This window comes from Homo sapiens, chromosome 18 (assembly GCF_000001405.40).
Source record: "Homo sapiens chromosome 18, GRCh38.p14 Primary Assembly".
Lineage (NCBI taxonomy): Eukaryota > Metazoa > Chordata > Mammalia > Primates > Hominidae > Homo > Homo sapiens.
Genome location: NC_000018.10, coordinates 21,084,881 through 21,112,099, shown reverse-complemented (window position 1 = coordinate 21,112,099; position 27,219 = coordinate 21,084,881). Strand labels below are relative to the sequence as shown.

At 39.1% G+C, this 27,219-nt stretch overlaps 1 protein-coding gene across 1 annotated transcript in view, besides 4 other annotated features; it reads left to right on the top strand.

The window, feature by feature from the left end:
* Nucleotides 39–428: a silencer, noted in NCBI's record as "silent region_9340". NCBI's record gives its function as "represses an Ori minimal core promoter by ATAC-STARR-seq in GM12878 lymphoblastoid cells {active_cell/tissue: GM12878}" and the evidence as "EXISTENCE:reporter gene assay evidence [ECO:0000049][PMID:35858748]".
* Nucleotides 39–634: a biological region, named in NCBI's record as "NANOG-H3K27ac-H3K4me1 hESC enhancer GRCh37_chr18:18691427-18692015".
* Nucleotides 46–634: an enhancer, noted in NCBI's record as "NANOG-H3K27ac-H3K4me1 hESC enhancer chr18:18691427-18692015 (GRCh37/hg19 assembly coordinates)". NCBI's record gives its function as "activates a minimal SCP1, AML or CMV promoter by ChIP-STARR-seq in primed H9 embryonic stem cells {active_cell/tissue: H9 hESC(primed)}" and the evidence as "EXISTENCE:reporter gene assay evidence [ECO:0000049][PMID:30033119]".
* Nucleotides 98–392: an enhancer, noted in NCBI's record as "tiled region #9828; HepG2 Activating DNase matched - State 1:Tss, and K562 Activating DNase unmatched - State 1:Tss". NCBI's record gives its function as "activates a minimal TATA promoter and a strong SV40 promoter by Sharpr-MPRA in HepG2 and K562 cells {active_cell/tissue: HepG2 | K562}" and the evidence as "EXISTENCE:reporter gene assay evidence [ECO:0000049][PMID:27701403]".
* Nucleotides 287–27,219, top strand: part of ROCK1 (Rho associated coiled-coil containing protein kinase 1) — a 164,908-nt gene continuing 137,975 nt past the window's right edge. The window contains exon 1 of the mRNA NM_005406.3: nt 287–1,282. Coding sequence (NP_005397.1) covers nt 1,190–1,282 — 93 coding nt within the window. The 5' untranslated portion in view covers nt 287–1,189. The remainder of the gene's footprint in view (nt 1,283–27,219) is intronic.

Below are 27,219 nucleotides of genomic sequence, written 5' to 3'. Positions count from 1 at the left end.
CCGGGACAGCGATCAGAAGCAGCCAGAGCTCCGCCTCCGTCCGGACCTCCAAGGCCGCTCCAGAGCCCTGCATGGCTCCTCAGAGCCGGCCAAGGCGAGAACCTTGCCGGCAGCTGCTTACCCGCACTCGGCTCCTCCCAGCGGTCCGCCTTCTCCACCGCCTGCCCGCAAGGCCCCGCCCACCTCACCGCCCCGCCCCACCCCACCCTGCGGAGGCGACAGAGTGCGCGCGCGCGCGCGGGGTCCCGGCTGGTTCCCCTTCCGAGCGTCCGCGCCCCGCATGCGCAGTCTGCCCCGGCGGTCTCCGTTTGTTTGAACAGGAAGGCGGACATATTAGTCCCTCTCAGCCCCCCTCGCCCCACCCCCCAGGCATTCGCCGCCGCGACTCGCCCTTTCCCCGGCTGGGACCGCAGCCCCTCCCAGAAGCTCCCCCATCAGCAGCCGCCGGGACCCAACTATCGTCTTCCTCTTCGCCCGCTCTCCAGCCTTTCCTCTGCTAAGTCTCCATCGGGCATCGACCTCGCCCTGCCCCACCGGACACCGTAGCAGCAGCCCCAGCAGCGACGGGACAAAATGGGAGAGTGAGGCTGTCCTGCGTGGACCAGCTCGTGGCCGAGACTGATCGGTGCGTCGGGCCGGGCCGAGTAGAGCCGGGGACGCGGGGCTAGACCGTCTACAGCGCCTCTGAGCGGAGCGGGCCCGGCCCGTGGCCCGAGCGGCGGCCGCAGCTGGCACAGCTCCTCACCCGCCCTTTGCTTTCGCCTTTCCTCTTCTCCCTCCCTTGTTGCCCGGAGGGAGTCTCCACCCTGCTTCTCTTTCTCTACCCGCTCCTGCCCATCTCGGGACGGGGACCCCTCCATGGCGACGGCGGCCGGGGCCCGCTAGACTGAAGCACCTCGCCGGAGCGACGAGGCTGGTGGCGACGGCGCTGTCGGCTGTCGTGAGGGGCTGCCGGGTGGGATGCGACTTTGGGCGTCCGAGCGGCTGTGGGTCGCTGTTGCCCCCGGCCCGGGGTCTGGAGAGCGGAGGTCCCCTCAGTGAGGGGAAGACGGGGGAACCGGGCGCACCTGGTGACCCTGAGGTTCCGGCTCCTCCGCCCCGCGGCTGCGAACCCACCGCGGAGGAAGTTGGTTGAAATTGCTTTCCGCTGCTGGTGCTGGTAAGAGGGCATTGTCACAGCAGCAGCAACATGTCGACTGGGGACAGTTTTGAGACTCGATTTGAAAAAATGGACAACCTGCTGCGGGATCCCAAATCGGAAGTGAATTCGGATTGTTTGCTGGTGAGTAGCGCTGTTCTCTTTTGCTTGTCTGGGGTTTTGCATGTCTTTCCTTCCTCTTGCATTAGTCTGGTTCGCTGCAAAAGTCTCAGGTGTGCATAATCGTCTTGGAAAATGCTAGATTTCTGTTTCCTGAAGAATCTTGGAGTACCATTAACATCTCATGGTGTGGTCCTATTTGCCATTTGACTGGCTCTGTACTAACTACTCTGAACTTTTAATTCTGACTCAGTTCATGAGTACCCGAAAGATACTTACAAACTGCTATTGCAGGCATCCTATAAAAAGTTATCACGTCAGAGTTACTGCAATGTATACAGTTTGTTGAATGGCGATCGTAGTAATTAATGTTAATCTTTCTGATCCGTTTGACAGTTAAATTGGAAAGACTACTTTGCATTTTTTTTCCTTTTTGCGATTTAGCTCCTAGGGGTTTAGTTTTTAGCCTTGAAAATGATAACGGAGAATTGCTATTGAGGAAGTGATTTTTGAGCCAAAATTTCATAGGTGATTTGAGTTTGAAGGAACTTTTTGCTAAACTATTGTAAAAAACCAAGATAATTGGTCATAGGTAATTACAGTGTTAACTTATTTTATTGTATTATTGGTTACAAAAGTACGTACCATACAGTTATTGTAACTGTCTTTTTGGTGGTGTGGCACTTAACATTGTCACTTGTAAAACATTCTAAAGAGGGTTTTATGACATGAAAAACCACAATCCCATTTTAAAAATAGTTAAGTGGTTGATAATACAGTTATCTGTAAATAATTGGAATTCTTAGGTTTGATACATTTCCTCTGTAAATGTATCAAAGTTGTTCAGAGTTTCTGAACAACTAAGGGTTATATAATATTTCTTGGTCCAAACAAAACCACATAATCTCTAAAATAAGGTTTCAGGGAGCATGTATATGGACAGGATTTCACAATGTCTTCGGTGAAATAATGTTAGATATGCTCAATTTTGGGGATTAAGATTAAGGAAACAAAATAATACCATTCAAAGAAATAATACAATTCAAAAATCGCATCTTGAATCAAAGGAAAATTAATGTAGATTGTTTAAAATTAACGTGCATTTCAGTTACTCTAAATTTCTGTTTATTTGTATTTTTCCACGTGTATGGGTTTTACAACAAGCTTCCCAAAGCTTTCAGAATTGTTGTAAGCATCCCTGACCAGGAAATAAGACTATTGTGGGTTGTTTGAAATGTCTCACCACATTATGGATGCTCTTTATATTGAGAGATAGTAAAGAAGGTTGATGCGTAATAGATTTTAAAACATTTTATTAAACGAGATAAGTGGAAGGAATTAGAATATATCTTGTAGTAAGGATTTCTATAACTTCTAAGAAGTCTGATTTATCTTTTAATATTTATCCAGTTTTCATATATTTTTGATTTTATTTTGCTTTTCGATCTCCTTATTACATGAGTGGTGTTATAGGGAGGGTTTAGTAGCTTTCTTTTTCTTTAAATCATCTTCTGGCCTCTTGCTATAGCTTCATTTGGTGGGGACCTTTATTTACATGTGGAGGATACAAGGAAATATAAGTCATGACTCTTTCCCTGAGAGTCCAATCTATTTAATGGAAGACAAAACCTTGTCTCACATATATACACAGAAACAAAGCTAAACACTTCACAGATTGAGAAAATGTGATAAATTCCAGATGATTGTTTAGATAATGTATGTTCTTGGAAATTGAGAGAAAGAAGTCACTGTGAGTTGAGAGAGCCAAAGTATGTTTTATAATGGATGGATAGGATTTAGGTAGAGGGTACTCAAGAGGAGTGGAGGATAACGTGAATAGAGGGTGGAGACATGACTGGCTATGACATGTTTGGGGAAACAAGGAAGATAAGGTTGGAAGGAAATATTAGCGTTAGATTGTGGAGGATTTGATTGGTAGGCTAAGGATTTTGGATTGCCTTTACACTGTTGTGGCTATTAAATATTTATAAATAAGACCGTGCTAGGATGAATGAAGAAGATGAATCTGGTGTGTGGAAGATGGGTTAGCATGGGAAAAGATTGGAGAGACAGTGAGATTGGACAGTTTTTTAAAATTGTTATTATTGTAATAGTCCAGAAATGATTGAAGCCCAAAATTGGGGCATGAGAATGAGAAAAGAAGAATTAATGGAACTTTATTGGCAGGGAAAAGATGGGGAACCAAAGAGAGAGGCAATAGTCAGATGACTCTAAAGAGGTTGAGCCTGGATTATAGGGAGAATGGTAAAAATAGCAAAGTCAGGTTTGGAAATTGCTTGTGAAGAATAGGCCTACAGATAAATTCAATTTTAGATTCGTTGTGTTTGAGGGGATAGTGGAGCAATCATGAGAAAATGACCTGTAGACTGTTGGAGATACAGAACTGAGCTCATAATTACAGATAATGATTTAGAAGTCATTTGCACAAAGGTGCAAGTTGATATAATGGTAAAGGGAGAAACAATGGAGGGAAAAATGAGGGTGAAAGATGAAGGTTGAACAAAGAGGAAGAGTGGAGGAGGTAAGCCATCAAGGCCTCCAGAGTTAGGACAGCCAGGTATCATGGAGCCCAACACTTCTAAAACAACATTTTGTTAAAGAGAATAGTCAACAGACAGATTTGGTTGTTTTTTCCCCTTCAAATCTTATAATCTTGTCCTCTTTTTCTGTTTAGTTCCACAGCTGTTTATTGATAGCTGTTACTGAAATTTTATTACCCCGTCAATCTGAACTTGGTAAAGACTGAATTTTCCTTTTTTTTTTTCTGAGATGGAATCTCACTCTGTTGCCCAGGCTGGAGTGCAGTGGCGCGATCTTGGCTCACTGCAACCTCCGACTCCTGGGTTCGAGTGATTCTCCTGCCTCAGCCCCCACGAGTAGTTGGGATTACACGCGTGCACTACCACGCCTGGCTAATTTTTGTAGTTTTAGTAGAGATGGGGTTTCACCATGTTGGCCAGGCTGGTCTTGTACTCCTTACCCCAAGGAATCCGCCTGCCTTGGCCTCCCGAAGTACTGGGATTACAGGCGTGAGCCACCGTGCCTGGCCCAAGACTGAATTTCCTTTAGAGACAAAAAATCCTTTTTCTGGGTTTGTAGTATCTAGCATGAATTTTCTTCGCATGATGTTTTATGTTTAACATTGAGCATTCGTTCGTTCATTCATTCATTGTGTCATTCAGGGTGACCTATCAGGTGACTTCAGCTTTTTCAGTGAGTCTGTTCTTGTTCTTCCCTATCTGGACTTTGGACCTCTCATGTATTATAGGAACAAAACTCCTTTTACATTGGTTGCCTTTTTCTGTTATTTTGACTTTTGTTGATTTGTGTAACTGATACTTACTTATTAGTGTGTATTATGTGCCACGTGCAGTCCTTTAGTTCTAGAGTTGTTTTTGTAATCCCAAAAATAAGGTTTTCAAATTGTTTCTTCTCTACCTCCTTTACTAGATTCATGCTTAGAAATGGAAACTTCCAAATCTTTTGGTTTCAGAAATTTGCTGGTGTATGTCCTTTTAAACTACCTTACCTACTAAACAGCTTTTTTGTTGAGACACTAATGATGAATAGCATCCGTAATCTGAAATTTGAAGTGCTCAAAATCTGAAACTTTTTGAGTGCTGACATGACGCCATAAGTGGAAAATCCACCTGACCTTGTGAGATGGGTTGCAGTCAAAATGCAGTCAGAACTTTGTTTCATGCACAAAATTATTAAAATATTGCAAAAAATAACCTTCAGGTTGTTGTGTATAAGGTATGTATGAGACGTAAATGAATTTCTTATTTAGACTTGGTCCCCATCCCCAGGGTATCTTATGTATATGCAAATATTTTAAAATCTGAAAAAGTCTGCAGTCTGAAACACTTCTAGTTCCAAGCATTTTAAACAAGGGATACTCAACCTGCAGTAGTTTAGAATAATGTAGCTGGAAGAACTCTGATAAGTGGCTATCCAATCTTTTCTCGAACACCTGTAATTTTTTTCAAGAACTAAGTAAGTTCAATCTTCATATCATGTATAAATGCTAAAATAGTCTGCAAATACTAAGATACATTATGATAACCATTCACTTGTTTCCTAGAGCATTCAAATTAGTCAACTTTGGTTTTCTGTAGGTCAGATTCTTTCCAGTGTCCTAATGGTTGTCTTTCTTACTGTCCATGTTACAGTTTATAAGGATTATCGGGAGCTATTTCTCTTTTCCGGACTTCCTTATCTTCTAATTATTTTGTCTAGGGCCTGTAATAATTTCTCAGTGATTTTGAGTACCTTTGAAAACAGAATAAGGGATGGAGTTTAGTTAAGTCTATTTAATCTTTGCAGAGGAAAAAATGCTTATGATTTGTAAATTAAATAGGAAAAACAAGGCCGGGTGCAGTGGCTCGCTCCTGGAGGGCTGAGGCCAGAGAATTGCTTGAGCCTAGGACGGGGAGGTTGCAGTGAGCCGAGATTGTGCCACTGCACTCCAGCCTGGACGACACAGTGAGAACTTGTCTCAAAAAAAAGGAAAAACAAAAATGGTTGGGAGGGTTATAGATACATTTGTTTTGAAGTTTGACATACTTTTCATGAAAATATCTTGCTTGTAGCATATTTATTGGCACATCGCTTCATGATGCCTGTTAAGAACATGACCTTTCCACTTCTCTTCTGGCTGGTGGAGGTGTAGCAACGGGTGAGCGGAGGAGACAGAAGGGAACCAGTATTAGTCAAATAGTGCCTGTTGAGTTCTAACACTGTGCTGTTTGTCACTACTATTTCTTATTAGGGAGTTTTTCAGAATGTGGAAGATAAATGTAAATGAAATTTCTGGTGTTAGTCTTTGAGTTTTTCTTCCTTTAAATTATCTTCCTGGGCTCTCTTGACCTAGTGCTTTCCCATCTTTTCATTCTTCTTTTTTTCTTTTCCTCAATCTTTGGCCTATCATACTTATCTTTGTCTTCACTCTCTTGAAGAATTCATCCATTCTTACAGCTTCAATTATTATTATCTCTATGTACATGATACCCAAATCTTTATTTTTAGTCTTTTGTTTCAAACCTTAAATATCTGACTGCCTTGTAAGCATTTCTACTTGGATGTCATGTTAGTCTCAAATCCCTCATATTCCAAAACAAGCTTCCTCCCATAAACTTATCTGTTTTGTCATTAATTCCACTATTGTCCCTGTCGCTAAACTGAAATTTTTGTTGTGAACTTTTTTGACAGTGTTAGTCCACACATTGGGTTATTACAGCAGATTTTGGGTAGCATTTTCGAATCTGGATTATTGCTGTCTAATCCCCTGTATGCCTTGCCAGTTGAATTGATCTGTTTTGGGGGTATATTACTCTTGGAATGAAAAGACCTGAGGTCATTAAATCTTTGAGCCTTAAAGTTGTATCTCTGCCAGTGTTCCTAGTTTGTGAGTTAATAGGTGTTATTAGTATCAATTGCATATCTGGTTAGTTTGGACCAGACTTTTTTGGATGTTAGTATGTTGCAGGAACTTCTTTTAAAAAAACAAGTTACTCTCCTAATTCATTTTTATTCATTCAGCAAATCTTTGTATAGGGCCTAAACTTGGATTGAAATCTAGGCTCTGACATGTATTTGCTGAAATATTTTAGGGAGTTATTTTAACCTCTCAATGCTGTTTCATCTTCAGAAAAATAAGAGGGGATAAAAGTACTAGATTGTTGTAAGAATTGAATAATATAGTCAAAGCAACTATCATAGCATTTGGTATTTAGTAAGCATTTGTAATATTGTCATATTTATAATATTTCTGTTATATACTAGTCAGTGTGCTTAGTCTAGAAGTTGATATTTATTGTCGTCTCTAAGTACAGAGTAATTTATCTGGCACCTCAAGCCGCTCATAAATTCATAATCTAGCTGTGCGTTATTGACGTCTAAGCCAATTGTAACTGAAAATTGAGACATTTATTAATAGATTCAATAAATGGGGAAGATCTTTTAGAGACTGTTTATTTGTTTAGTTGTGATTTATAATATGGTATATACTTTGTGCCAAGGGTTTAGTTGGATATAAAAGGCAATTGGGAACTAATTTATGGAGATTGAGTTGTTATCTTGTTCTCTTTCTGTGTGTATCTTTTATACTTTCAGTGTGTGTTCTGTAAATAGGCCCTCTTGCACTACAGGCACCCTGTGGGTGTGTAGAGACGTGGCTCAGAGTAACGGCTGAGATATGAATTGGTTAATTCATTAATCTTTTGAGTCAGAAATGTTTTTTTTCCGCCCAGTCCGAAGTGCCGTGGCGCTATCTTGGCTTACTGCAAGCTCCACCTCCTGGGTTCACGCCATTCTCCTGCCTCAGCCTCCTGAGTAGCTGGGACTACAGGCGCCCGCCACCGCACCCGGCTAATTTTTTGTATTTTTAGTAGAGACAGGGTTTCACCGTGTTAGCCAGGATGGTCTCGATCTCCTGGCCTCGTGATCCGCCCGCCTCAGCCTCCCACAGTGCTGGGATTACAGGCATGAGCGCCGCACCCTGCCCAGAAATGTTTTTAATCCAGAAGAAGGAACTACATATAAAATTTTATGTTGAATAAAGAGTAAATTCTCAGTTTTAGATTAGACTTTGCATAACTTTACACCAGTTTTGCTTCACGATTATAAGTTTTGGTGTTATGGATATATGGTGAAAACTACAGATTCTATTACGATAATTGATAGAAAAACCCACTTATCAGGAAATATTATATATAGAGTTCTATTGCTGAAGATAATCCAATAGCTCTACTTCTCCATTCCTCATCCCCACTAAAAAGGGGGTATATCCATTTAGTTTAAGTCCACAGTATAGCTGTTGGATACGACACACATGTGTTCAAGAAGATGAACAGGTAGTACTGCAATTCACAATGGAAAGTATTCTTAAAAATATGCCATTAGTGTGGTGTGAAAAGAACACTGGACTGAAAATTCAGAGCATAGTCTTGTTTTGCTATTAAATCTCTGTGTAATGAAGTACATCATTTTTCTCATCTAGGCTTCAGTTTCCCTATTTGTAGAACAAAGAGTTGGACCAGATAGTTGCTGATGTCTCTTGTGTCTCTGAAAATTCTATGATAGGCCTGGCATGGTGGTCTGTAATCCCAGCACTTTTGGAGGCCAAGGTGCAAGTATCCCTTGAGCCCAGGAGTTTGAGACCGGCCTGGGCAACAGAGAGGGACCTCGGCTCTACAAAAAAAATAAAAATATTACCTGGGTGTAGTCTCAGCTACTTGGGAGGTTGAGGTAGGAAGATCGCTTGAGCCCAGGAGATTGAGGCTGCAGTGAGCCATGTTGGTGCCACGGCACTCTAGCCTGGTTGTCAAAGTGAGACTCTGTCTCAAAAAAAAAAAATAATAAAATAAAATTTATTAAACAAAATCTATGAGACTTTGTTTATTACACTTCAATTAAAACTTCAAAAAATTGTCTTTGATTTATTATTTAAGAAATAAAACTTAAACAGTTAAATGATGTTGGGGTAGAAATGTAAGACTGTCAACCATCTTTAGTAAGTGCTTTTTTTGGAACTAGTTCCTAAATTAATTTCAATAGTTATATTTGCCATTATTTTTTGAATTTGTGACTTACGTTCATAATTGTAGGGGTTTGTACTTTCTGAACATAGGAAGTGTAATTTTTTATTTGTATATCTATTAAAATGTAAAGATATGATTTTCTTCTCTAGTATACTTGCCCTCTCTGTTTGGGATTATGAAATATAGAGTGTATTTTTATTACAGTTCCTAAACAATTAATAGGAAGGTAGATGTTCAAATTAACGTCCAAAGTCTGATATCTCAGGGAGGTGAGAGTTTATCTTATACTTGTGTTATATTAAGGGTAGGCCAACCTGTGCCCCTCTTAATTGATCCATACTTCTGATACCAGATTTTTGGCAAGAAATTGAAAATTTTCTCAGATTGTTGTCTTGAACTACTTTTTTTTTTTTTGAGACAGGGTCTGGCCCTGTCACCCAGGCTGAAGTGTGGTGGCATGATCTCAGCTCACTGAAGCCTCCACTTCCCGAGCTGAAGCCATTCTTCTGCCTCAGCCTCTTGAGTAACTGGGACTACAGGCAAGCGCCACCATGCCTGGCTAATTTTTGTATTTTTTTTGGTAGAGATGGGGTTTTGCCATGTTGCCCAGGCTGGTCTCAAGTGAGCCATTGGCCTCAGCTTCCCAAAGTGTAAGGATTACAGGCGTGAGCCACAGCACCCAGCCCTCAAACTAATTTTGAAACAGTGGACTGCAATTAACTTTCCTTTTTCTCTTTTCTGTTATTCATTCATTCATTTGACAAATGTTTATTTGGTGTGTACTGTGTGCTAGGAATTCTGCTATGCAATGGAACACCATGGTGAGTAAAAACAAACATGTCCCACTTTCATGGAATTTATAGTGTCAGGAAAAGGATTAATTAAATGTCTATCACACTAAGATAGGAGTGGGGTATGGTGAAGGGCAGGTAAGAGATATGATCATGACTTTCCTTTAAGGTTTGGTTTACTTGTAGTAAAGCAATTAAGTGTATAGTTTTCAGATATGAGGCTGTAGATTGTATCAGATTCACTTGAGGCACTTGTTAAAAATGGAATCTGGGATCTTGCGTAGACAAACAAAATCACAATTTTTTGGGATGATTCTTAGGATTTGCATGAGATGTGGATTCTTAGACACACTCAAGTTTGAAAACTGTAGTTACAGTGGAAAGAATGTGAATTTTCATTCTGTTTGGTAATTTTATGATAAAAATTTCAAATATACGCAGAAGTAGGGAAAATAGGATAGTGAACTCCTGTTACTCAGATTTTGCAGTTTTCAAAATGTCATCACATTTGATTTCATTAATCACCCTTTTTCTTACCAAAATATTTTAAAGTAAATTCCATATATTGTCATTTCATCCTTACATACTTCAATAAGCATCTTTGAAAAAAAAAAAGGACATTTTCTTACATAATCATAATGGCCATTATCATGCCTAGCAAAATTAAAAGTGCTTTGGTATCATTAATTCCCAGTTTATATTCATATTTCTGATTGTCTAAAACAGTGTCTATTTTACAGTTGCTTTATTAGAATCTGGATCCAAAGTCCAAATGTTGCTTTTCTTTGGTTAGGTCCTTTAAGAGTCTTTTAAGTCTCTTAATATAGAGAAATCTCATTCCCCCAACTTCTCCAACTCCCCTTCCCCTGCATGTTGAAGGAACTAGGTCAGTGGTACTATACAGGACCTTGTTTTACATTCTGGATTTTTCTTTTTACTTTCCTAATGATGTAATTTAACTTCTTCCTGTATTTTCCATATTTCCTATAAAATGGTAGTTAGATCTAAAAGCTTGATTTACTTATTTCAGATTTCTAGTCAAGGGTACTCAATAGATTGTATTTTCTTTTGCCTCACACGGAGGTGCATAATGTCTGCCTGGCCTGTAGTGATGCTAAGGTTGATCATTCTGTTCAGGTGGCATCAGTCTGTGATAGCTTCCTGTAAGAATCGTTCATTAACCTTTCATCTAATGGTTCCATTCATTCATGATCTTTAACTGAATCCCTGTTATTTCATTAGGGAATAGCAAAATAATGATTTTCTAATTCTGTTATTCCTTTCACATTTATTAACTGTAATTCCTCTGTTAAGAGTAGAACTTTTACATATTAATATCAACTAGGGCTGTATGTTTACCATGAAATCCAATTCATGAAATACAGGATGAATACTTCAATCTTTTCCTTAATTGCCACTTGTTATAGCAAGGTATTTTGGAGACTTATTATGATAGATATGCCACAAACTGGGTAACTTGAGGGGAGTTTAAGTAAAGGACTGTTTACAAAGGTATAGATAATATTTAAGGAAACTGGTAGGGATGGTACAGTGCTCTGTGACTAGTCACAGTGAGGAAGGGAGTTGCGATCGCCTCAAGGCCAGCAGGAAACAGGGAAGAGGAAAGCAGCTGAGGAGGGTAGCTCTATGGAAGAGGTCTGTCTGATGGGGAGTGTGCTTTCAAGTAAAGAGGAGCTTGTGGATCAAGTATTAAGGGAGACAGAGGAATATATCCCCTACCCTTATTCTCCTCCCTCCCTACATGCAGTCTCCTTCTGAGATCTCCCATTACCTGAAAAGCTAATATGCAAAAGAGCCTGTTGATATGATCCATATGAGTCACAAACAAGACATAACCAACATTTATTTATTTATTTCGCTCTCAGTCTTTTTTTTTTTTTTAAATTTTTGGCATCATTATAAACACATTTAAAAATATTTTTGGTGTGTTTTCAGTCAATTTATGTCATCCTTGCTGATACTCAGTTTGTCCTGTCTTTGGCTGATGGGGGCTTCTTCAGGTTGATTCTCATGTTATTTGTATATGACCCTAATTATCTTTGATAGAGCTTCCTTGTTTTTTTTTTTTTGCTGCAGTAAGGTACTCAGGCTCATCTTGTACATTTCTTGCCTCAGACTTGGAAATCAGCCATTCCTCCAGGAAACTCTTTCCTTTTGGTGGGGAATGCTACTCTTTACTATTGGATGAAATTGTTTCTTGTCCTTGTTCAGTGAATAGAGCTATGATATTTTATTTTTGAGAAGAAGAAAAAGTGACTGATTATTTCACCAACTTCTTGTCAGTTAGGCTCTTTCATTTTAGGTTTTTTTTTTTTTTCTTTTTTTCCAGTACTTAAAAAGTGCTTTCTTTACTTTTTGATGTAATTTTATTTTATTGTGTATGTGAAACATTTACATGCTTTTTGGTTGGTTTGGGTTTTTTTGTTTTTGTTTTGAGACAGTCTTGCTCTGTCGCCCAGACTGGAGTGCAGTGGCACCATCTTGGCTCACTGTAACCTCCTCCCTCCAGGTTCAAGCAATTCTTCTGACTCAGTCTCCCTAGTAGCTGGGACTACAGGCATGTGCCACCATGCCCGGCTAATTTTTGTATCTTTAGTAGAGGTAGGGTTTTGCCATGTTGGCCAGGCTGGTCTCGAACTCCTGAGCTCAAGTGATCTTGCCTGCCTCAGCCTCCCAAAGTGTTGGGATTACAGGCATGAGCCACTGCGCCCGGCCTGTTTTTTGAGACAGGGTCTTGCTCTGTCCCCCAGGCTGGAGTGCAGTGGCATGATCACGGTTCACTGCAGCCTCTTCCTCCTGGGCTCAAGCGATTCTCTCACTTCAGTTTCCTGAGCGGCTGGGACTATAGGCACGTGTTACCATGCCTGGCTGATTTTAAAAATGTTTTGTAGAGATGGAGTCTCGCTGTGTTGCCTAGGCCAGGATCAAACTCCTAGGCTCAAGGGATCCTCCCACCACAACCCCCCAAAGTGTTGGGATTAAAGGTGTGAGCTACTGTGCCAGGCCCATTTACGTGGTTTAAAAGTTAAAACTATATCAGATATATTCAGAATATTCTTACTTTGATCCACGTCTCTCTACCCTGTTCTTTTCCCTTTACTCTTTTTTTTGATTTGACATTTCAGTGTTTATTCTTATAAATATAAGCAAATATGTATCCATATACACATATACATAGATATATACATAGATATATTTATATTCTTTTTTAATCACTTTCTTACGCAAAAAGTAGCATGTTACATATTGGTGTATGATTTTCCTCCTTCCTTTTTACAGCTGAGTCCTGTTCCATTTTGTGGGTGTTAGCATTGTTAATTCAGTCTCCTATGGATGGACATTTGAGTTGTTTATATTTTTACCAGTGTGTCTTTGGAGTAGATTCCTAGAAGTGAGATTGCTGGGTTAAAGACACATGCATATATAATTTTGCTCACTGTTAAAATATTCTCCCTCTCCTAAGAGTTGTGCTATTTTACATTTCCACTAGTAATGATATGGGATTGTCTGTTGTCCTCACCAACAATATGTTGTAAGACTTTTGAATTTTTGTCCATTTAATAGGTGACAAGTGCTATTTCAGTATAATTTGAATTTGAATTTTATTTTCTATTTTTTCTATTCTAACATTAATATCAATTTCTGTTCTTCTCATGAGTAAGGTTGAATATCTTTTCATATTTTAAGGGCTATTTGAATTCCTTCTGTGATCTGCCCGTCCATATTTTTTGTTCATTTTAAATTGTTTTTCTTCTCAGTTTTTAGAAGCTCTTTATGTATTAGGGAGCTTAGCCCTTTTTCTGTGGTAAAATGCAGATTTTTTTTTTTTTTTGCAATTTTTCATGTTTTAGACTTTGCTTCTGCATTTTGTTACTTTGCCGCACAATTTTTAAATGTCTCCAAATTATCAATCTTTTGTTGCTTCAAAATTTTGAGTCATAGTTAGAAAGATTTCCCCTATGTCCAGATCATAAAGGAATTCATCCATATTTTCTCTGATGCTTAATGTTTTTTTCAGTTTTTACTTTGAAATCTACTCGGAATTTATCATGTATGGTAAATTTTGAGATACATCCAATTTTATCTTTATTCAAATGGCTATCTGTTTATCTCCACAGCATTTATTTTAAAAATGCCTATGTTTGTTGGTTGACAATGCCACTTTCTTCATATATTAAATTTCCATGTGTACTTGGGATTATTTCTAACCTTCTGTTCCATTGGTCTCTCTTGCTTTTTCATGTGCTAATACCACACTGTGTCAATTATAAAGGCTTTCTAATATCTCTTCAGCTTTTAAAATGTCTAGTAGGGCCATCTCCACCCCTGCTCTCCCATGCACATACACCGTCACATTGAAGCACATGGGTGTTTTTTAGGGATAACTAGCTTCCAACCCTGGCTTTGTTGTTTACTAGCCCTTGGTCCTTGGACAGTTTACTAAAGCACTGTGATATCCATTTATCCCATCTCTGAAATGGGATGATGATGCCTACCTTATATTGTTGTAAGGATTACATGACACCAGCAGAACTGCCTTGTCAGGCATGAATTCTGGAGTCAGACTGGGATTTTTCACTCCCACCCAGGTCGACCACTTATTAGCCCTGTGACTTTGGGTAAAGTTCTTAAGAGGAACTCAAACACATCACCTTCAAATAAGATTAATCATAGACCCTCATAGAACTCTTAAGAGTATTAAACGTGGTAATGCATGTAAGTGCTTTGCAGAGTTCACAACATTTAGTAGATGTTAGCTGTTTGTAATCATCGTCATCATTATATATCCTTATGATTTGTCCTTGGGAAAAACTACTTTTGATCTAAGTGGATTATTATCTATCTCCCAGCTCTGCTGGCCAGGTTTTTATTTAGTTGTGTAATCTTGGACAAGTTACCTAACTTTTTTGAGTCTGAATATATTTAATCTGCAAAATGAGAATCATGATAATACGTCATAGGCTTAATTAGGAGGATTAAATGAAATAATTTATAGGTGGTGCCATGGTTACATACAAGTATTAGTAGTTAATTCTTTTCCTTTGTTTACTTTTATAGTATAGGTTGGATGAAGGTTCCAGTATAGGCAAAAATACTACTTGGGGGTAAAGTAGAGTGTGATACTTTATTTGAAATGTTCCCTGAATCTGATCTTTACTTTTTGTTACTGCTGCACTACCCAAATCCAAATTTTCATCCCAACATTCTTGGATTTGTGGGACAGCGTAGCAGCTTTCCAATATAATCTATACTACATCTTTTCTTAACTTTGGTGCTTTTTGTCATGTGGTCTCAGTGTACCTATTTACTTAGTCTTTATTCCCAGCATTTCCCAAAATAGACTGCGCTCTACTGGATTTTCTTGCTTTCTATAGTATCTCACCTACTCTTTCCTACTTTTGCTGTCGTATTTCCAGGACCTACCTTTCTCTCCCCTTGAGTTCTCCCCCATGTCCTCCTCACACAATTTTCTCATCTTTATAGTCTGACATAAATCACAACTGTGTTAAACTGTTACTTTCTTTTTTGAACTCCTGTAGTCTCATGAAATTTAGAAATTGATCATAGTTGTCTTGTATAGGGCTATTTTGTTTGTTAATCTTACCTAATGAGAATTCCTTGAGGGCTAAGCATAATTCTAGACATCAGTGTTCAGTATTACTTATTGATTGGTGTGAATGATTATCTCCCCTTTCCCCATTCCTTTGTTTTTTCCCTTTCTTTCTCTGAATTAGTTGATCATACCTATCTGGTATAGGGCTATCTTGTTTGTTAATCATACCTAATGAGAATTCCTTGTGGGCTAAACATAATAATTCTAGACATCATGTTCAATAATGCTCATTAATTATTGTGAATGATTATCTCCCCTATTTCCATTCTCTTGTTCTTTCCCTTTCTTTCTCTGAATTAGTTAGGACTCTTTCAGTTGTAAGTGATAGAACCCAACATAAATATTTGTAGACAGGCTGGGCATGGTGGCTCACGCCTGTAATCCCAGCACTTTGGGAGGCTGAGGCAGGCAGATCACCTGAGGTCAGGAGTTCAAGACCAGCCTGGCCAATGTGGTGAAACCCTGTCTCTACTAAAAATACAAAAGTTAGCTGGGCATAGTGGCAGGCGCCTGTAATCCCAGCCACTCGGGAGGCTGAGACAGGAGAATTGCTTGAACCCGGGGGGGCAGAGGTTGCAGTGAGCCAAGATTGTGCCACTGCACTTCAGCCTGTGTGACAGAGTGAGACTCCATCTCAAAAAAAAAAAAAATTCGTAGACAAAAAATAATTTTAAAAATGCTTTATTTTAAATTTTTATGGGAACATAGTAGATATATGTATTTATGGGGTACATGTGATGTTTTGATATAGGCATACAATGTATAATAGTCACATCAGGGTAAATGGAGTATCCATCACCTACAACACTTGCCATTTCTTTGTGTTAAGAATGTTTTGATTCTACTCTTATTTTTTTTTTTAATTTTCAATTTTTGTGGATACATAGTAGGTGTATATATTATGGGGTACATGGGATGTTTTGATACAGGCATGCTGTGTGTAATCACATCATGGAAAATGAGGTATCCATCCTCTCAAGCATTTATCCTTTGTGTTACAATCCAATTATTCTCCATTAGTTATTTAAAAATATATGATTAAATTATTATTGACTATAGTTAGCCTGTTGTGCTATCAAATACTAGATCTTATTCATTTTTTCTAGCTAGTTTTTTTTTTTTCTTGTACCCATTAACTATCCCCCCAGTCCCTTTCTCCCCTACTACCCTTCCTATCTCTGTCTCCATGAGTTGAATTGTTTTGAGTTTTAGATCCCACAAATGAATGGGAACATGTGAGATTTATCTTTCTGTGTCTGGCTTATTTCACTTAATGTAATGACCTTGAGTTCTATCTATGTTGTGCAAATGATAGGATTTTATTCTTTTTTATGGTTGAATAATATCCCATTGTGTATATGTACCGTATTTTCTTTGTCCATTGATCATGGACACTTAGGTTGCTTCCATATCTTGGGTGTTGTGAATAGTGGTATGATAAACATGGGAGTGCAGATATCTCTTCGCTATACTGATTTCTTTTCTTTTGCATATGTACCTAGAAGTGGGATTGCTGGATTCTATGGGTAGTTTGATTAGTTCTTTGAAGAACCGCCAAACTGTTCTCCATAGTGGTTGTACTAATTTACATTCCCGTTAACATTGTAGGAGAGTTCCCGTTTCTCCACATCCTCAGTTGTATTCATTATTGCCTCTTGGATTAAAAAAAAAAGCTACTTTAACTGGGGTGAAATGATACCACATTGTAGTTTTGATTTGCATTTCTCTGATGATCAGTGGTGCTGAGTACCTTTTCATATACTTGTTTGCCATTTGTATGTCTTTTTTTTTTTTTTTTTTTTTGAGACAGAGTTTCCCTCTTGTTGCCCAGGCTGGAGTGCAATGGCGCAGTCTTGGCTCACCGCAACCTTTGCCTCCCAGGTTCAAGCGATTCTCCTGCTTCAGCTTCCCGAGTAGCTGGGATTACAGCCATGCACCACCACACCTGGCTAATTTTTTTGGTGTTTTTAGTAGAGATGGGGTTTCTTCATGTTGGTCAGGCTGGTCTCGAACTCCAGACCTCAGGTGATCTGCCCACCTTGGCCTCCCAAAGTGCTGGGATTACAGGTGTGAGCCACCGCGCCTGGCCATCTTTTTTTTTTTTTGAGACAGGATCTCATTTTGTTGCCCAGGCTGGAGTTCAGTGGTGGGGTCATGGCTTACTGCAGCATTGACCTCTCTGGCTCAGATGATTCTCTCACCTCAGCCTCTTGAGTAGCTGGGACTACAGGTGCGTGCCACCATGCCCGGCCAATGTTTGTATTTTTTTTTCTTTTTTTGTAGAGACAGGGTTTTGCCATGTTGCCCAGGCTGGTCTCAAACTCCTCGGCTTAATGATCCTCCTCCCAAAGTGCTGGGATTATAGGCATGATAGACGTCTTCTTTGGAGAAATGTCTATTCAGATCCTTTGCCCATTTAAAAATTGGATTATTAGACTTTTTTTCTCCTGAGTTGTTTGAGCTCCTTATATATTCTAGTTATTAATCCCTTGTTTGCACATATTTTCTCCCATTCTTTAGGTTGCCTCCTCACTTTGTTGATTCTTTAAAAAAGAATTTTGGATTCAGGAAAACCTAGTCTCATTAAAGGTAAAGATTAAGTTGAACTTCAGTAAAAACTAGAATTTGGGCTTAAATGCAAGCAAGGCTCATTCTCTGTGTTCTCTTACGTTTTTCTTTGTGTTGGCATCATTCTCTCAGATTGTAGACTGGTTTTAGTCACATGTGGAAAATATGGCTGCCTACAGCACTGGAACTTTATATCTAACAGCTTCAGCTTTGACCATTGACTTCAGATCTTTGAGTCTTGAGTATAGAGCTCTGGAGGAAAAGATTCATTAGTTACATTTAGGTCAGTTGCCAGGTGCCCACTCCTTGACTAATTTTTTTTTTTTTTTTGAGATTGAGTCTTGCTCTGTCACCCAAGCTGGAGTGCAGTGGCATGATCTCGGCTCACTGCAACCTCCACCTCCCAGGTTCAAGCGATCCTCCTGCCTCAGCCTCCCGAGTAGCTGGGACTACAGGTGCACACCACCACACCTGGCTAATTTTTTGTATTTTTAGTAGAGATGGGGTTTCACCATATTAGCCAGGATGGTTTCAATCTCCTAACCAAGTCTTGATCTGCCTGCCTCGGCCTCCCAGAGTGCTGGGATTACAGATGTAAGCCATCGTGCCTGGCTCCTTGACTAATTAATTGTGATCAGGCGGGTAGGGTCACATGAGAACTTTGAGAATGGGGAGGCAGTTTGCAGGAAAATGAGGGCAGTAGGGCAGGGCAGACAGTGCCGTAGGTGTACATTATGCTACCCTTTCTTTCCTCTTTGTCCTTAGAGAAGTCATATACACTCTTCTAAAGTGCAGTTTTCTCAATCTGTAAAATTGAATTAACAATAATTTATTTCATGGGGTACTGAGGAGGACTAAATGAGATAATTTAGAAAGCAGCATTTGAAACTTCACAAAAACAATAGAGTAACCTGGTGATAAGTGGCTGTACCTTGGTCTCTCACAACGTGCCCTGTGCTTATTTGGCCTGGCCCCAAAGGTTTTGCAAATGATGTGACTGCAGCTGGTTTTCCAGATCGGCTTCTTTGGTGTTGTCCACCAGAGAACTTGTGATTACAAGACGAGTGCCAGTAGCTTCTAAGACTATTTGTTCAGGTACAGTGGAAAAAGTCTTTTCTTCTTACCTTCAAATAGAATCTCTAATTGATCTGACCAATTTAGATATAATGTACCCATATCTGAATCAATCTCAGTCAAAATAATGGTGTGCTGATGAGCATAGGTCTGCATCATGTGCTCCAGTCTTGGAACTGGGGAAGAGCCAGCTTATACCAAGATACATTACGGTTGCATGAAGGAGGGGTGGAAATTGGAGTTCATTTACCATTATTAAATTATCTGACATTAAAATAAATATTGCCAGCCGTTTGCCAAACCTCAACTTAAGACCACCAACTGAGATACACTTGGACCTTTAAGAGAGGGATACCTGTGTGCTGCATTGCCTTGATGATATGTCATAGTGAGGATTACCAAATGCCTGTTGATGGATCCAGTCACATTAGAACCAAATACAGATTCTTGTGATTCATCACAGCTCCACCATATGAGAATTGAAGAAAAAGTCTTGTTTCCCATTTAATAAATTATTTTATCTTTTAAAAAATGTGGTTTAAAAAATGCCAGGCTATATGAAGAGGATGAGCATTTTCTGACACTTGCTAAAAAGAAGTTGTGTTGGTTTTTTTTTTTTTTTTTTTTTTTTAAAGATGAGGTCTTGCTTACCCAGGCTGGAGTGCAGTGGTGCGATCATGGCTCACTGCAGCCTTGACCTCCCAGGCTGAAGCAGTCCTCCCACCTCAGCCTCCCGAGTAGCTGGGACTACAGACCTGTGCCATCACAGCTGGCTAACTTTGTTGCATTTTAGTACAGATGAAGTCTTAACGATGTTGCCCAGCCTGGTCTTGAACTCCTGGGCTCAAGCAATCCTCCCACCTTGGCTTTCCAAAGTGCTGGGATTACAAGCAGTGCCTGGCCGGTTTTGTTTTATTTTGTTTGGTTGATCCAATTTTTTTAGTGGGGAAGGGAAAATCAAATTTTATACAGAAGCCAAATAAAGAGATTCCCTTAATCATCATTGTAACTCTCCAATACCTTGTTCCTTCACCTGTCAAAAGGAAGGGATTGGCTGTTTAGTAATTTATGAAGACATTATTTTAATGTGAAGAGGCTATAAAATAATAGTTTTACAATTGGTCCCTGAACAGCATGGTGGTTAGAGGTGCTGACTCCCCTAATAATTGAAAATCTGCATGTAACTTTGACTCCTCCCCAAATTTAACAGTTTTTTATTTTATTTATTTTTTGAGACAGCGTCTCGCTCTGTTGCCCAGGCTGGAGTGCAGTGGCATGATCTCGGCTCACTGCAACCTTTGCCCCACCGCCCACCCCCGGTTCAACTGATCCTTGGGCTTCAGTCTTCAGAGTAGCTGGGATTATAGGCATACGACACCACGCTGGGCTAATTTTTGTGTTTGTAGTAGAGACGGGTTTCACCACGTAGGCCAGCCTGGTCTCAAACTCATGGGCTCAAGTGATCCACTCGCCTCGGCCTCCCAAAGTACTGGGATTACAGGTGTGAGCCACTCTGCCCAGCCCCAGATTTAACAATTAACAGCCTTACTAATGTAAAGATTCAACTAGCACATATTTTGTGATATATGTACATAGTTATTTAATTTTTGAGATGGAATCTCGCTCTGTCACCCAGGCTGGAGTGCAGTGGCATGATCTTGACTCACTGCAACCTCTGCCTCCTGGGTTCAAGTGATTCTCCTGTCTCTGCCTCCCGAGTAGCTGGGACTACAGGTGCGTGCCACCACACCTAGCTCATTTTTGTATTTTTAGTAGAGACGGGGTTTCACCATGTTGGCCAGGCTGGTCTTGAACTCCTGACCTCGTGATCCACCCACCTCGGCCTCCCAGAGTGCTGGGATTACAGGCATGAGCCACCATTCCTGGCTATTATATATCTTATATACTGTATTCTTACAGTAAAGTAAGCTAGAGAAAAGAAAATATTAGGAAAATCATAAGGGAGAGAAAATATATTTACTATTCATTAAGTGGAGGTAGATCTCATAAAGGTCTTCATCCTCGTTATCTTCATGTTGAGTAGCTGAGGAGGAGGAGAGATTGGTCTTTGTATCAGGGGTGGCAGAGAGGGAAGAGGTAAAAGAGATGGAAGGGGAGGCAAGAGAGGCATACTCGGTGTATATTTTATTGAAAAAAAAAATCCACATATAAGTAGATCTATGCAGTTCCAACTCATGTTGTTTAAGGGTCAACTGTTACAGAAAAACAGATATTTTCACAGATTAAAAAGGTTTAAAAATTTACTGTTCCTATGAGATTAATTTTTTTTCCCTAAATGGTAATAAATTTTGCTTACTTAGCTTTTATGCTTCTGATCTATTGTACTTTGAGATACTGATGCTCTTACATGTAAGCTCTGTGAGAACAGGTATCTCATTGTCTTGTTCACTGTTGTATCACTGGTTCTTAGAGCCCTGCTTGGCACATTATAAGTTTTCAATAAACATTTATTTGTTGTTGTCGAATTTCTGGAAAATATCTTTTGCTTATTTGTTTCTGTAACAAGAGCTGAAGATGGTTGACATCATGTTAGGGAATAGGATATAATTGATAATTTGTTTAAATGTAAACTGTACCTATCCGGGGGATAACATTTTAAAACTGCAGGAGGTCTGTATGAAAATATAGATATTCTGCTCCCCACCCCAGTACCTCTTGAATTTTGAATGAAGGACCAAAAGCCAATAATGTGTTGTTTTGTGTGTGTGTTTTTTGATACAGAGTCTCAAAAATAAAGGGAATCACTTTATTTGGCTTCTGTATGCAGTGGTGGGATCATGATTCACTACAGCCTCAACCTCCTGGGCTTAAGTGATTCTCCCACCTCAGCCTCCTGAGTAGCTGAGATTACAGGCATGCTAATTTTACCTGGCTAGTTTTTGAATGTTTAATAGAGACAGGGTCACACTGTGTTGCCCAGGCTGGTCTTAAACTATTAGGTTCGAGGGATCCTCCCGCCTTGGCCTCCCAAAGTGTTGGGGTTACAGATGTGATGAAATGTGTCAACATTTGGCTGCATAATTCAAGGAACCAGTATTTTCTAAGTGACCAATCAATGCATGATGTTATAAAATCATCCATGAATAAAAGATCCATTCAAAGTAGAAGATAGACCAATAAATTTTAATGTTGCAAACTGTGCAAAAAGTTCAGAAACCATTGATATAATTTCAGATTCTACAATGCCACTAATCTTTAAGAAACACCCCTCGTCAAATTTGATGTAGTAGCAAATAATTTCCAGTTATCTGAAAAGACTGTTAACATACTCTTCCCTTTTCCAACTACAATCTCAGACTTAATAATGGTTCACTTTATGATTTTTCCACTTTATGATGGTGTGTGTAAAGCTATATGCATTCAGTAGAAACCGTACTTTGAGTACCCATACAACCGTTCTGTTTTTCACTTTCAGTACAGTATTCAATAAATTACATGAGATATTTGACACTTTGTTATAAAATAGGCTTTGTGTTAGATGATTTTGCACAACTGTAGGCTGATGTAAGTGTTCTGAACATGTTTAAGGTAGGCTACACTAATCTATGATGTTAGCAGATTAGATGTATTAAATGCATTTTCAACCTACAATATTTTCAACTTACAAGTGGTTTATCAGGATGTAAACCCCACCCATTATAAGTCTAGGAGCATCTGTCCATATCTGTGTGAAGTTAGATTTTCACGCTTCAAACCAAGGCAATGTATTGTCATAGATTGAATGCAGGCGCAGATATGAGTGTCCAGTTGTCTTCTATTAAGCTAGATGCTAAAGAGATTTGTAAAAATGTAAGATAATGCCATTCTTCTTCCCAATTAAAAAAAGTTTTAGGCCGGCTGCGGTGGCTCACGCCTGTAATCCCAGCATTTTGGGAGGCCAAGGCGGGTGGATTGCCTGAGGCCAGGAGTTCAAGACCAGTCTGGCCAACATGGTGAAACCCCGTCTCTACTAAAGATAGAAAAAAATTAGCCGAATGTGGTGGCGTGCCCCTGTAATCCCAGCTACTTGGAGGCTGAGGCAGGGGAATTTCTTGAACCAGGGGAACTTCTTGAACCAGTGGAGGTTGCAGTGAGCTGAGATTGCGCCGCTGCACTCTAGTCTGGGCAACAGAGCAAGACTCCGTCTTAAAAAAAAAAAGTTTTAATAAAATATGTTATTTATAATAACATATAATGGGAATTTTTTTTAAATTCCTGTCCTAGTTTATTTCTGCTGCTATAACAGAACCAAGACTGGGTAATTTATAAAGAACGGAAATTTGTTTTCTCATAGTTCTGGAGTCTGGGAAGACCAAGATCAAGGCACCAGCAGGTTTGGTTCTCTGATGAGGGTCTAGTCTCTGAATCCAAGAAGGTGCCTGGAAAGCTGCATCCTCCAGAAGGGAGGGGTCAGTATGTCCTCACATGGTAGAAGGCAAAAGGACAAAAAGGGTCCAAACTCCCTAATCAAACCTGTTCATCATGGCATTAATATACTTATAAGGACTCTGCCCTCATGACCTTTACACCTTCCCAAAGGCCCCACCTCTTAACACTGTTTCTCTGGGGATTAAGTTTCCAATAAATGAATTTTGGCACTTTCAGACCATAGCAAATTTGTTCAGATGATCCCTTTCTAGTTTCTTGAGAAAGGAACTTAGATTATTAATTGAAAATTATTATTCTTTTTCTTTTCTTAAAAAATTTATTTTAAGACAGGGTCTCACTCTGTCACCCAGACTGGAGTGCAGTGACGTGATCATAGCTCACTCTAGCCTTGACCTTTCAGGGGCTCAGGCTATCCTTCTGCCTCAGCCTCTCCTGAGTAGCTGGGACCACAGGCGTGTGCCTCGATGCCCCGCTAATTTTTAAATTTTTTTGTAGAGACGAGGTCTTTCTATTGTTACCCAGATGGGCCTTGAACTCCTGAGCTCAAGTGATCCTTCCACCTCAGCCTCCCAAAGTATTAGGATTATTGGCCTGAGCCACTGCGCCTGGCCATCATTACTCTTTTCTAATCATTTAATGCTATACATTTTTCTTTTAGCAGTGATTTAGCTGTATTCCACAAATTCCAGTGTTGTGTTCTCATTTTCATTCAGTTCAATGTATATTTTTATTTCCTTTGAGGCTTTCCCTTTGACCCAGAAATTATTTAGAAATCTGTTGTTTAGTTTCCAAGTGTTTGGAGATTTCCCTACTATCTTTTTCTTATTTATTGTAGTTTGTACATTTTGGTCAAAGAACACATTCTGTTATGATTTTAATTCTTTTTAATTTGCTGAGGTTTGAATTATGGCACACAATGTGGTGGTCTGTCTTGGTAATAGTTCCATGAGCACTTGTAAAGGATGTGTATTCTGCTATTTTGGGTTAGAATGTGATATAAATGTCAATTAGATCTTGTTGATTAATTGTGTTGAGTTCTTGATGATTTTGTGCCCAGTTCTATCAATTTTTAAGAGAGAAGTATTCAAGTTGCCGACTAAAATTGTAGATTTGTCTATTTCTCTTTTCATTTTTGTCAGGTTTTGCTTCACTTGTGTTGCAGTTCTGTTGTTCTGAGCGTACATGGTTCAGATTATTGTGCCTTCTTGGTGGATTGACTCTTTTGTGATCATATAATTTTCCATTCTGTGCCTGGCCATTTTCTTTCTCTGAAGTCTGCCTTGTCTGACACTAATATAGCCACACCCACTTTCTTTTGATTAATATTTGCATGGTAAATCATTTCCCATTCTTTTACTTCCAACCTACCTGTATTGTTGCATTTTAAGTGAATTTCTTGTCTGTGGATGGGTCATGTTTATGTATCCAGGTCTACCAATCTGTTTCTTAATTTGAATTGTTGTCTAGACCATTTATATTTCATATAACTATTGTTATGTTAGGGTTTAAATCTGCTGTTATATTCTTTCTTTTCTGTTTTTACCTCCCTGTTTTTTGTATCTGTGTTCCTTTTTTGCCTTCCTGGGCCACTTGAACATTTATTGTAATTCCCTTTTGACTTATCTGAAAGTGTTTTTGTGTGTATATGTCTTTGTATAGCTTTTTAAATTGGTTACTCTAGGTATTAAATTAGGCATAGAAAACATCACATTATATTGGTTTTGATATTTTACTAGTTCAATTGAAAGGTAGAAATTTTTCCTCCTTTTTGTCATTTTACCCTTGTTCGTAATATATTCATGTTTAATATCTTCTTACATGCATTGAGAAACAAGCAACATTATAATTTTTGCTTTAACTTTCAAGACAAGAAAAATGTATTATCTTTTCCCATATTTTTACATTTTGTTCTTCTTTTCTGATATATGATATACCAGATTTATTTCTTTCATCGTCTTCTATTTAGAGAATTTCCTTTAACCATTATTTTAGAATGTCTGCTTGTGACAAATCTCTTGGTTTTTCATCATCTGAGAATGTCTTAATTTTTTTTTTTTTTTTCAGTGGATGTAGAATTTCGGTTTGACATTTTAAAAAATTGGCTTAGGTTTCTTTGGGTGTGTCCTGTTTTGATGTTTGGTCAGCTCCTTCAACCTGTAGGTTTATGTCTTTTGCCAAATTTGGGGAATTTTTAGCCATCATTTGTTTTAGTCCCTTTTAGCCCCATTCTATTTTTCTTGTTTGTCTTCTGGGCATCCAGTGATACAAATGTTAAATCTTTTGTTATAGTTCCATGGAAAATGAATGATTCTCTTCATTTTCTTTTCCATGATCAAGGTCTGATTGTATGATAATTTGTATAAGAATTTTAAGAAAATAACAATTAGCTGAGTTTTAAAAAATTATTTTCAGGCTGGGCGCGGTGGCTCACGCCTGTAATCTCAGCACTTTGGGATGCCTAGGTGGGCGGATCACTTGAGGTCGGGAGTTCGAGACCAGCCTGTCCCACATGGTGAAATCCTGTCTCTACTAAAAATACAAAAATTAGCCAGGTGTGGTGGTGCATGCCTGTAATCCCAGCTACTCAGGAGGCTGAGGCAGGAGAATAGCTTGAACCTGGGAGGTGGAGGTTGCAGTGAGCCGAGATTGCGCCACTGCACTCCAGCCTGGGCGACAGAGTGAGACTCAGTCTCAAAAAAAAAAAAAAAAAATTATTTCCATACTACTACTAACCAAAGAATGTATGACATGTATTTATTTTTCCCCAAAATAACAAATTAGATACTTAAAAGAATCGTTTGAGAAATGACAAACTCTCTCTCCCCAAAGTCTGAACCATCTGAACTTCTTCAGTTACTCATGCCAGGAGAAAACTTTGATTGTGTTCACCCATACCTATAAAACTTTAAGGCAGTAGGGAGGAAATCCTCCTTGAAATTATCCGTGAATATATTTTTGTGACTCATTTGGATAAATCTTTAAAAAATAAAAAACAGTCCTGTGTGGTTGTTACTGATACTATCTTGTTTTACAGATGAGAACATTGAGGTGGTGATGGGTTAAATAACTTGCTCAAGATCACATGACTACTAAATATTCTAGCTTGGAATATGAGACAGGATGCCATTTCTGTAGAAGTATTCTCTTACTTTACAAGGTTAATGTCTTAACTTGGTATCTTAAGCCTGTTCTCCCTTACATCTTTTGGAACCTTGTTAAATCATGTATCTTCTATAAAAATATCTTTTCTACCTAAAAATGTTTCATCAAGTTTAAGTTTTAAATCATGCAAACTTCTAGTCTTTCTCATTTATTTAGCCATTTTTCTCATTTCTTCATTTTCCATTAATTTTTCTACCAACCATAAGCTGGTATGTGCACCTTCTCCTCTAACGAAGCATTCTAATTAAGATTAATAATGCCCTTAAAAATTGGCAGTAAAATATACGTAACATGAAATTTGCCTTTTTTTTTTTTTTGAAATGGGGTTGTCCAAGCTGCTCTGAAATTCCTGGGCTCAGGCGATCCTCCCACTTCACTTTCCTGAGTAGCTGGGATTACAGGTGCATGCCACTGCATCCGCCTCCGTTTTAACTGTTCCTGAGTACAATTTGGTGGTGTTAAAGCACATTCACAATTTTGTGTTTTCACCAGTATCTGTTTGCACTATATCATCTGTCTCAAACAAACTCTGTATCCATTAAACAGTAACTCTTTTATTCCCTGTCCCTCCAGCCTATGGTAATCTCCATTCTACTTTCTGTTTCTGTAAATTTGCCATTTCTAGGTACTGTGTATAAGTGGAATCATACAATATTTTTCCTTTTTTGTCTGGCTTATTTCATTTAGCATAATGTTTACAGATTTTATCTATGTTGTAGTATGTGTCAGCATTTCCTTTTTTAAGGCTGAATAATACTACAGTGTATGTACATACCACCT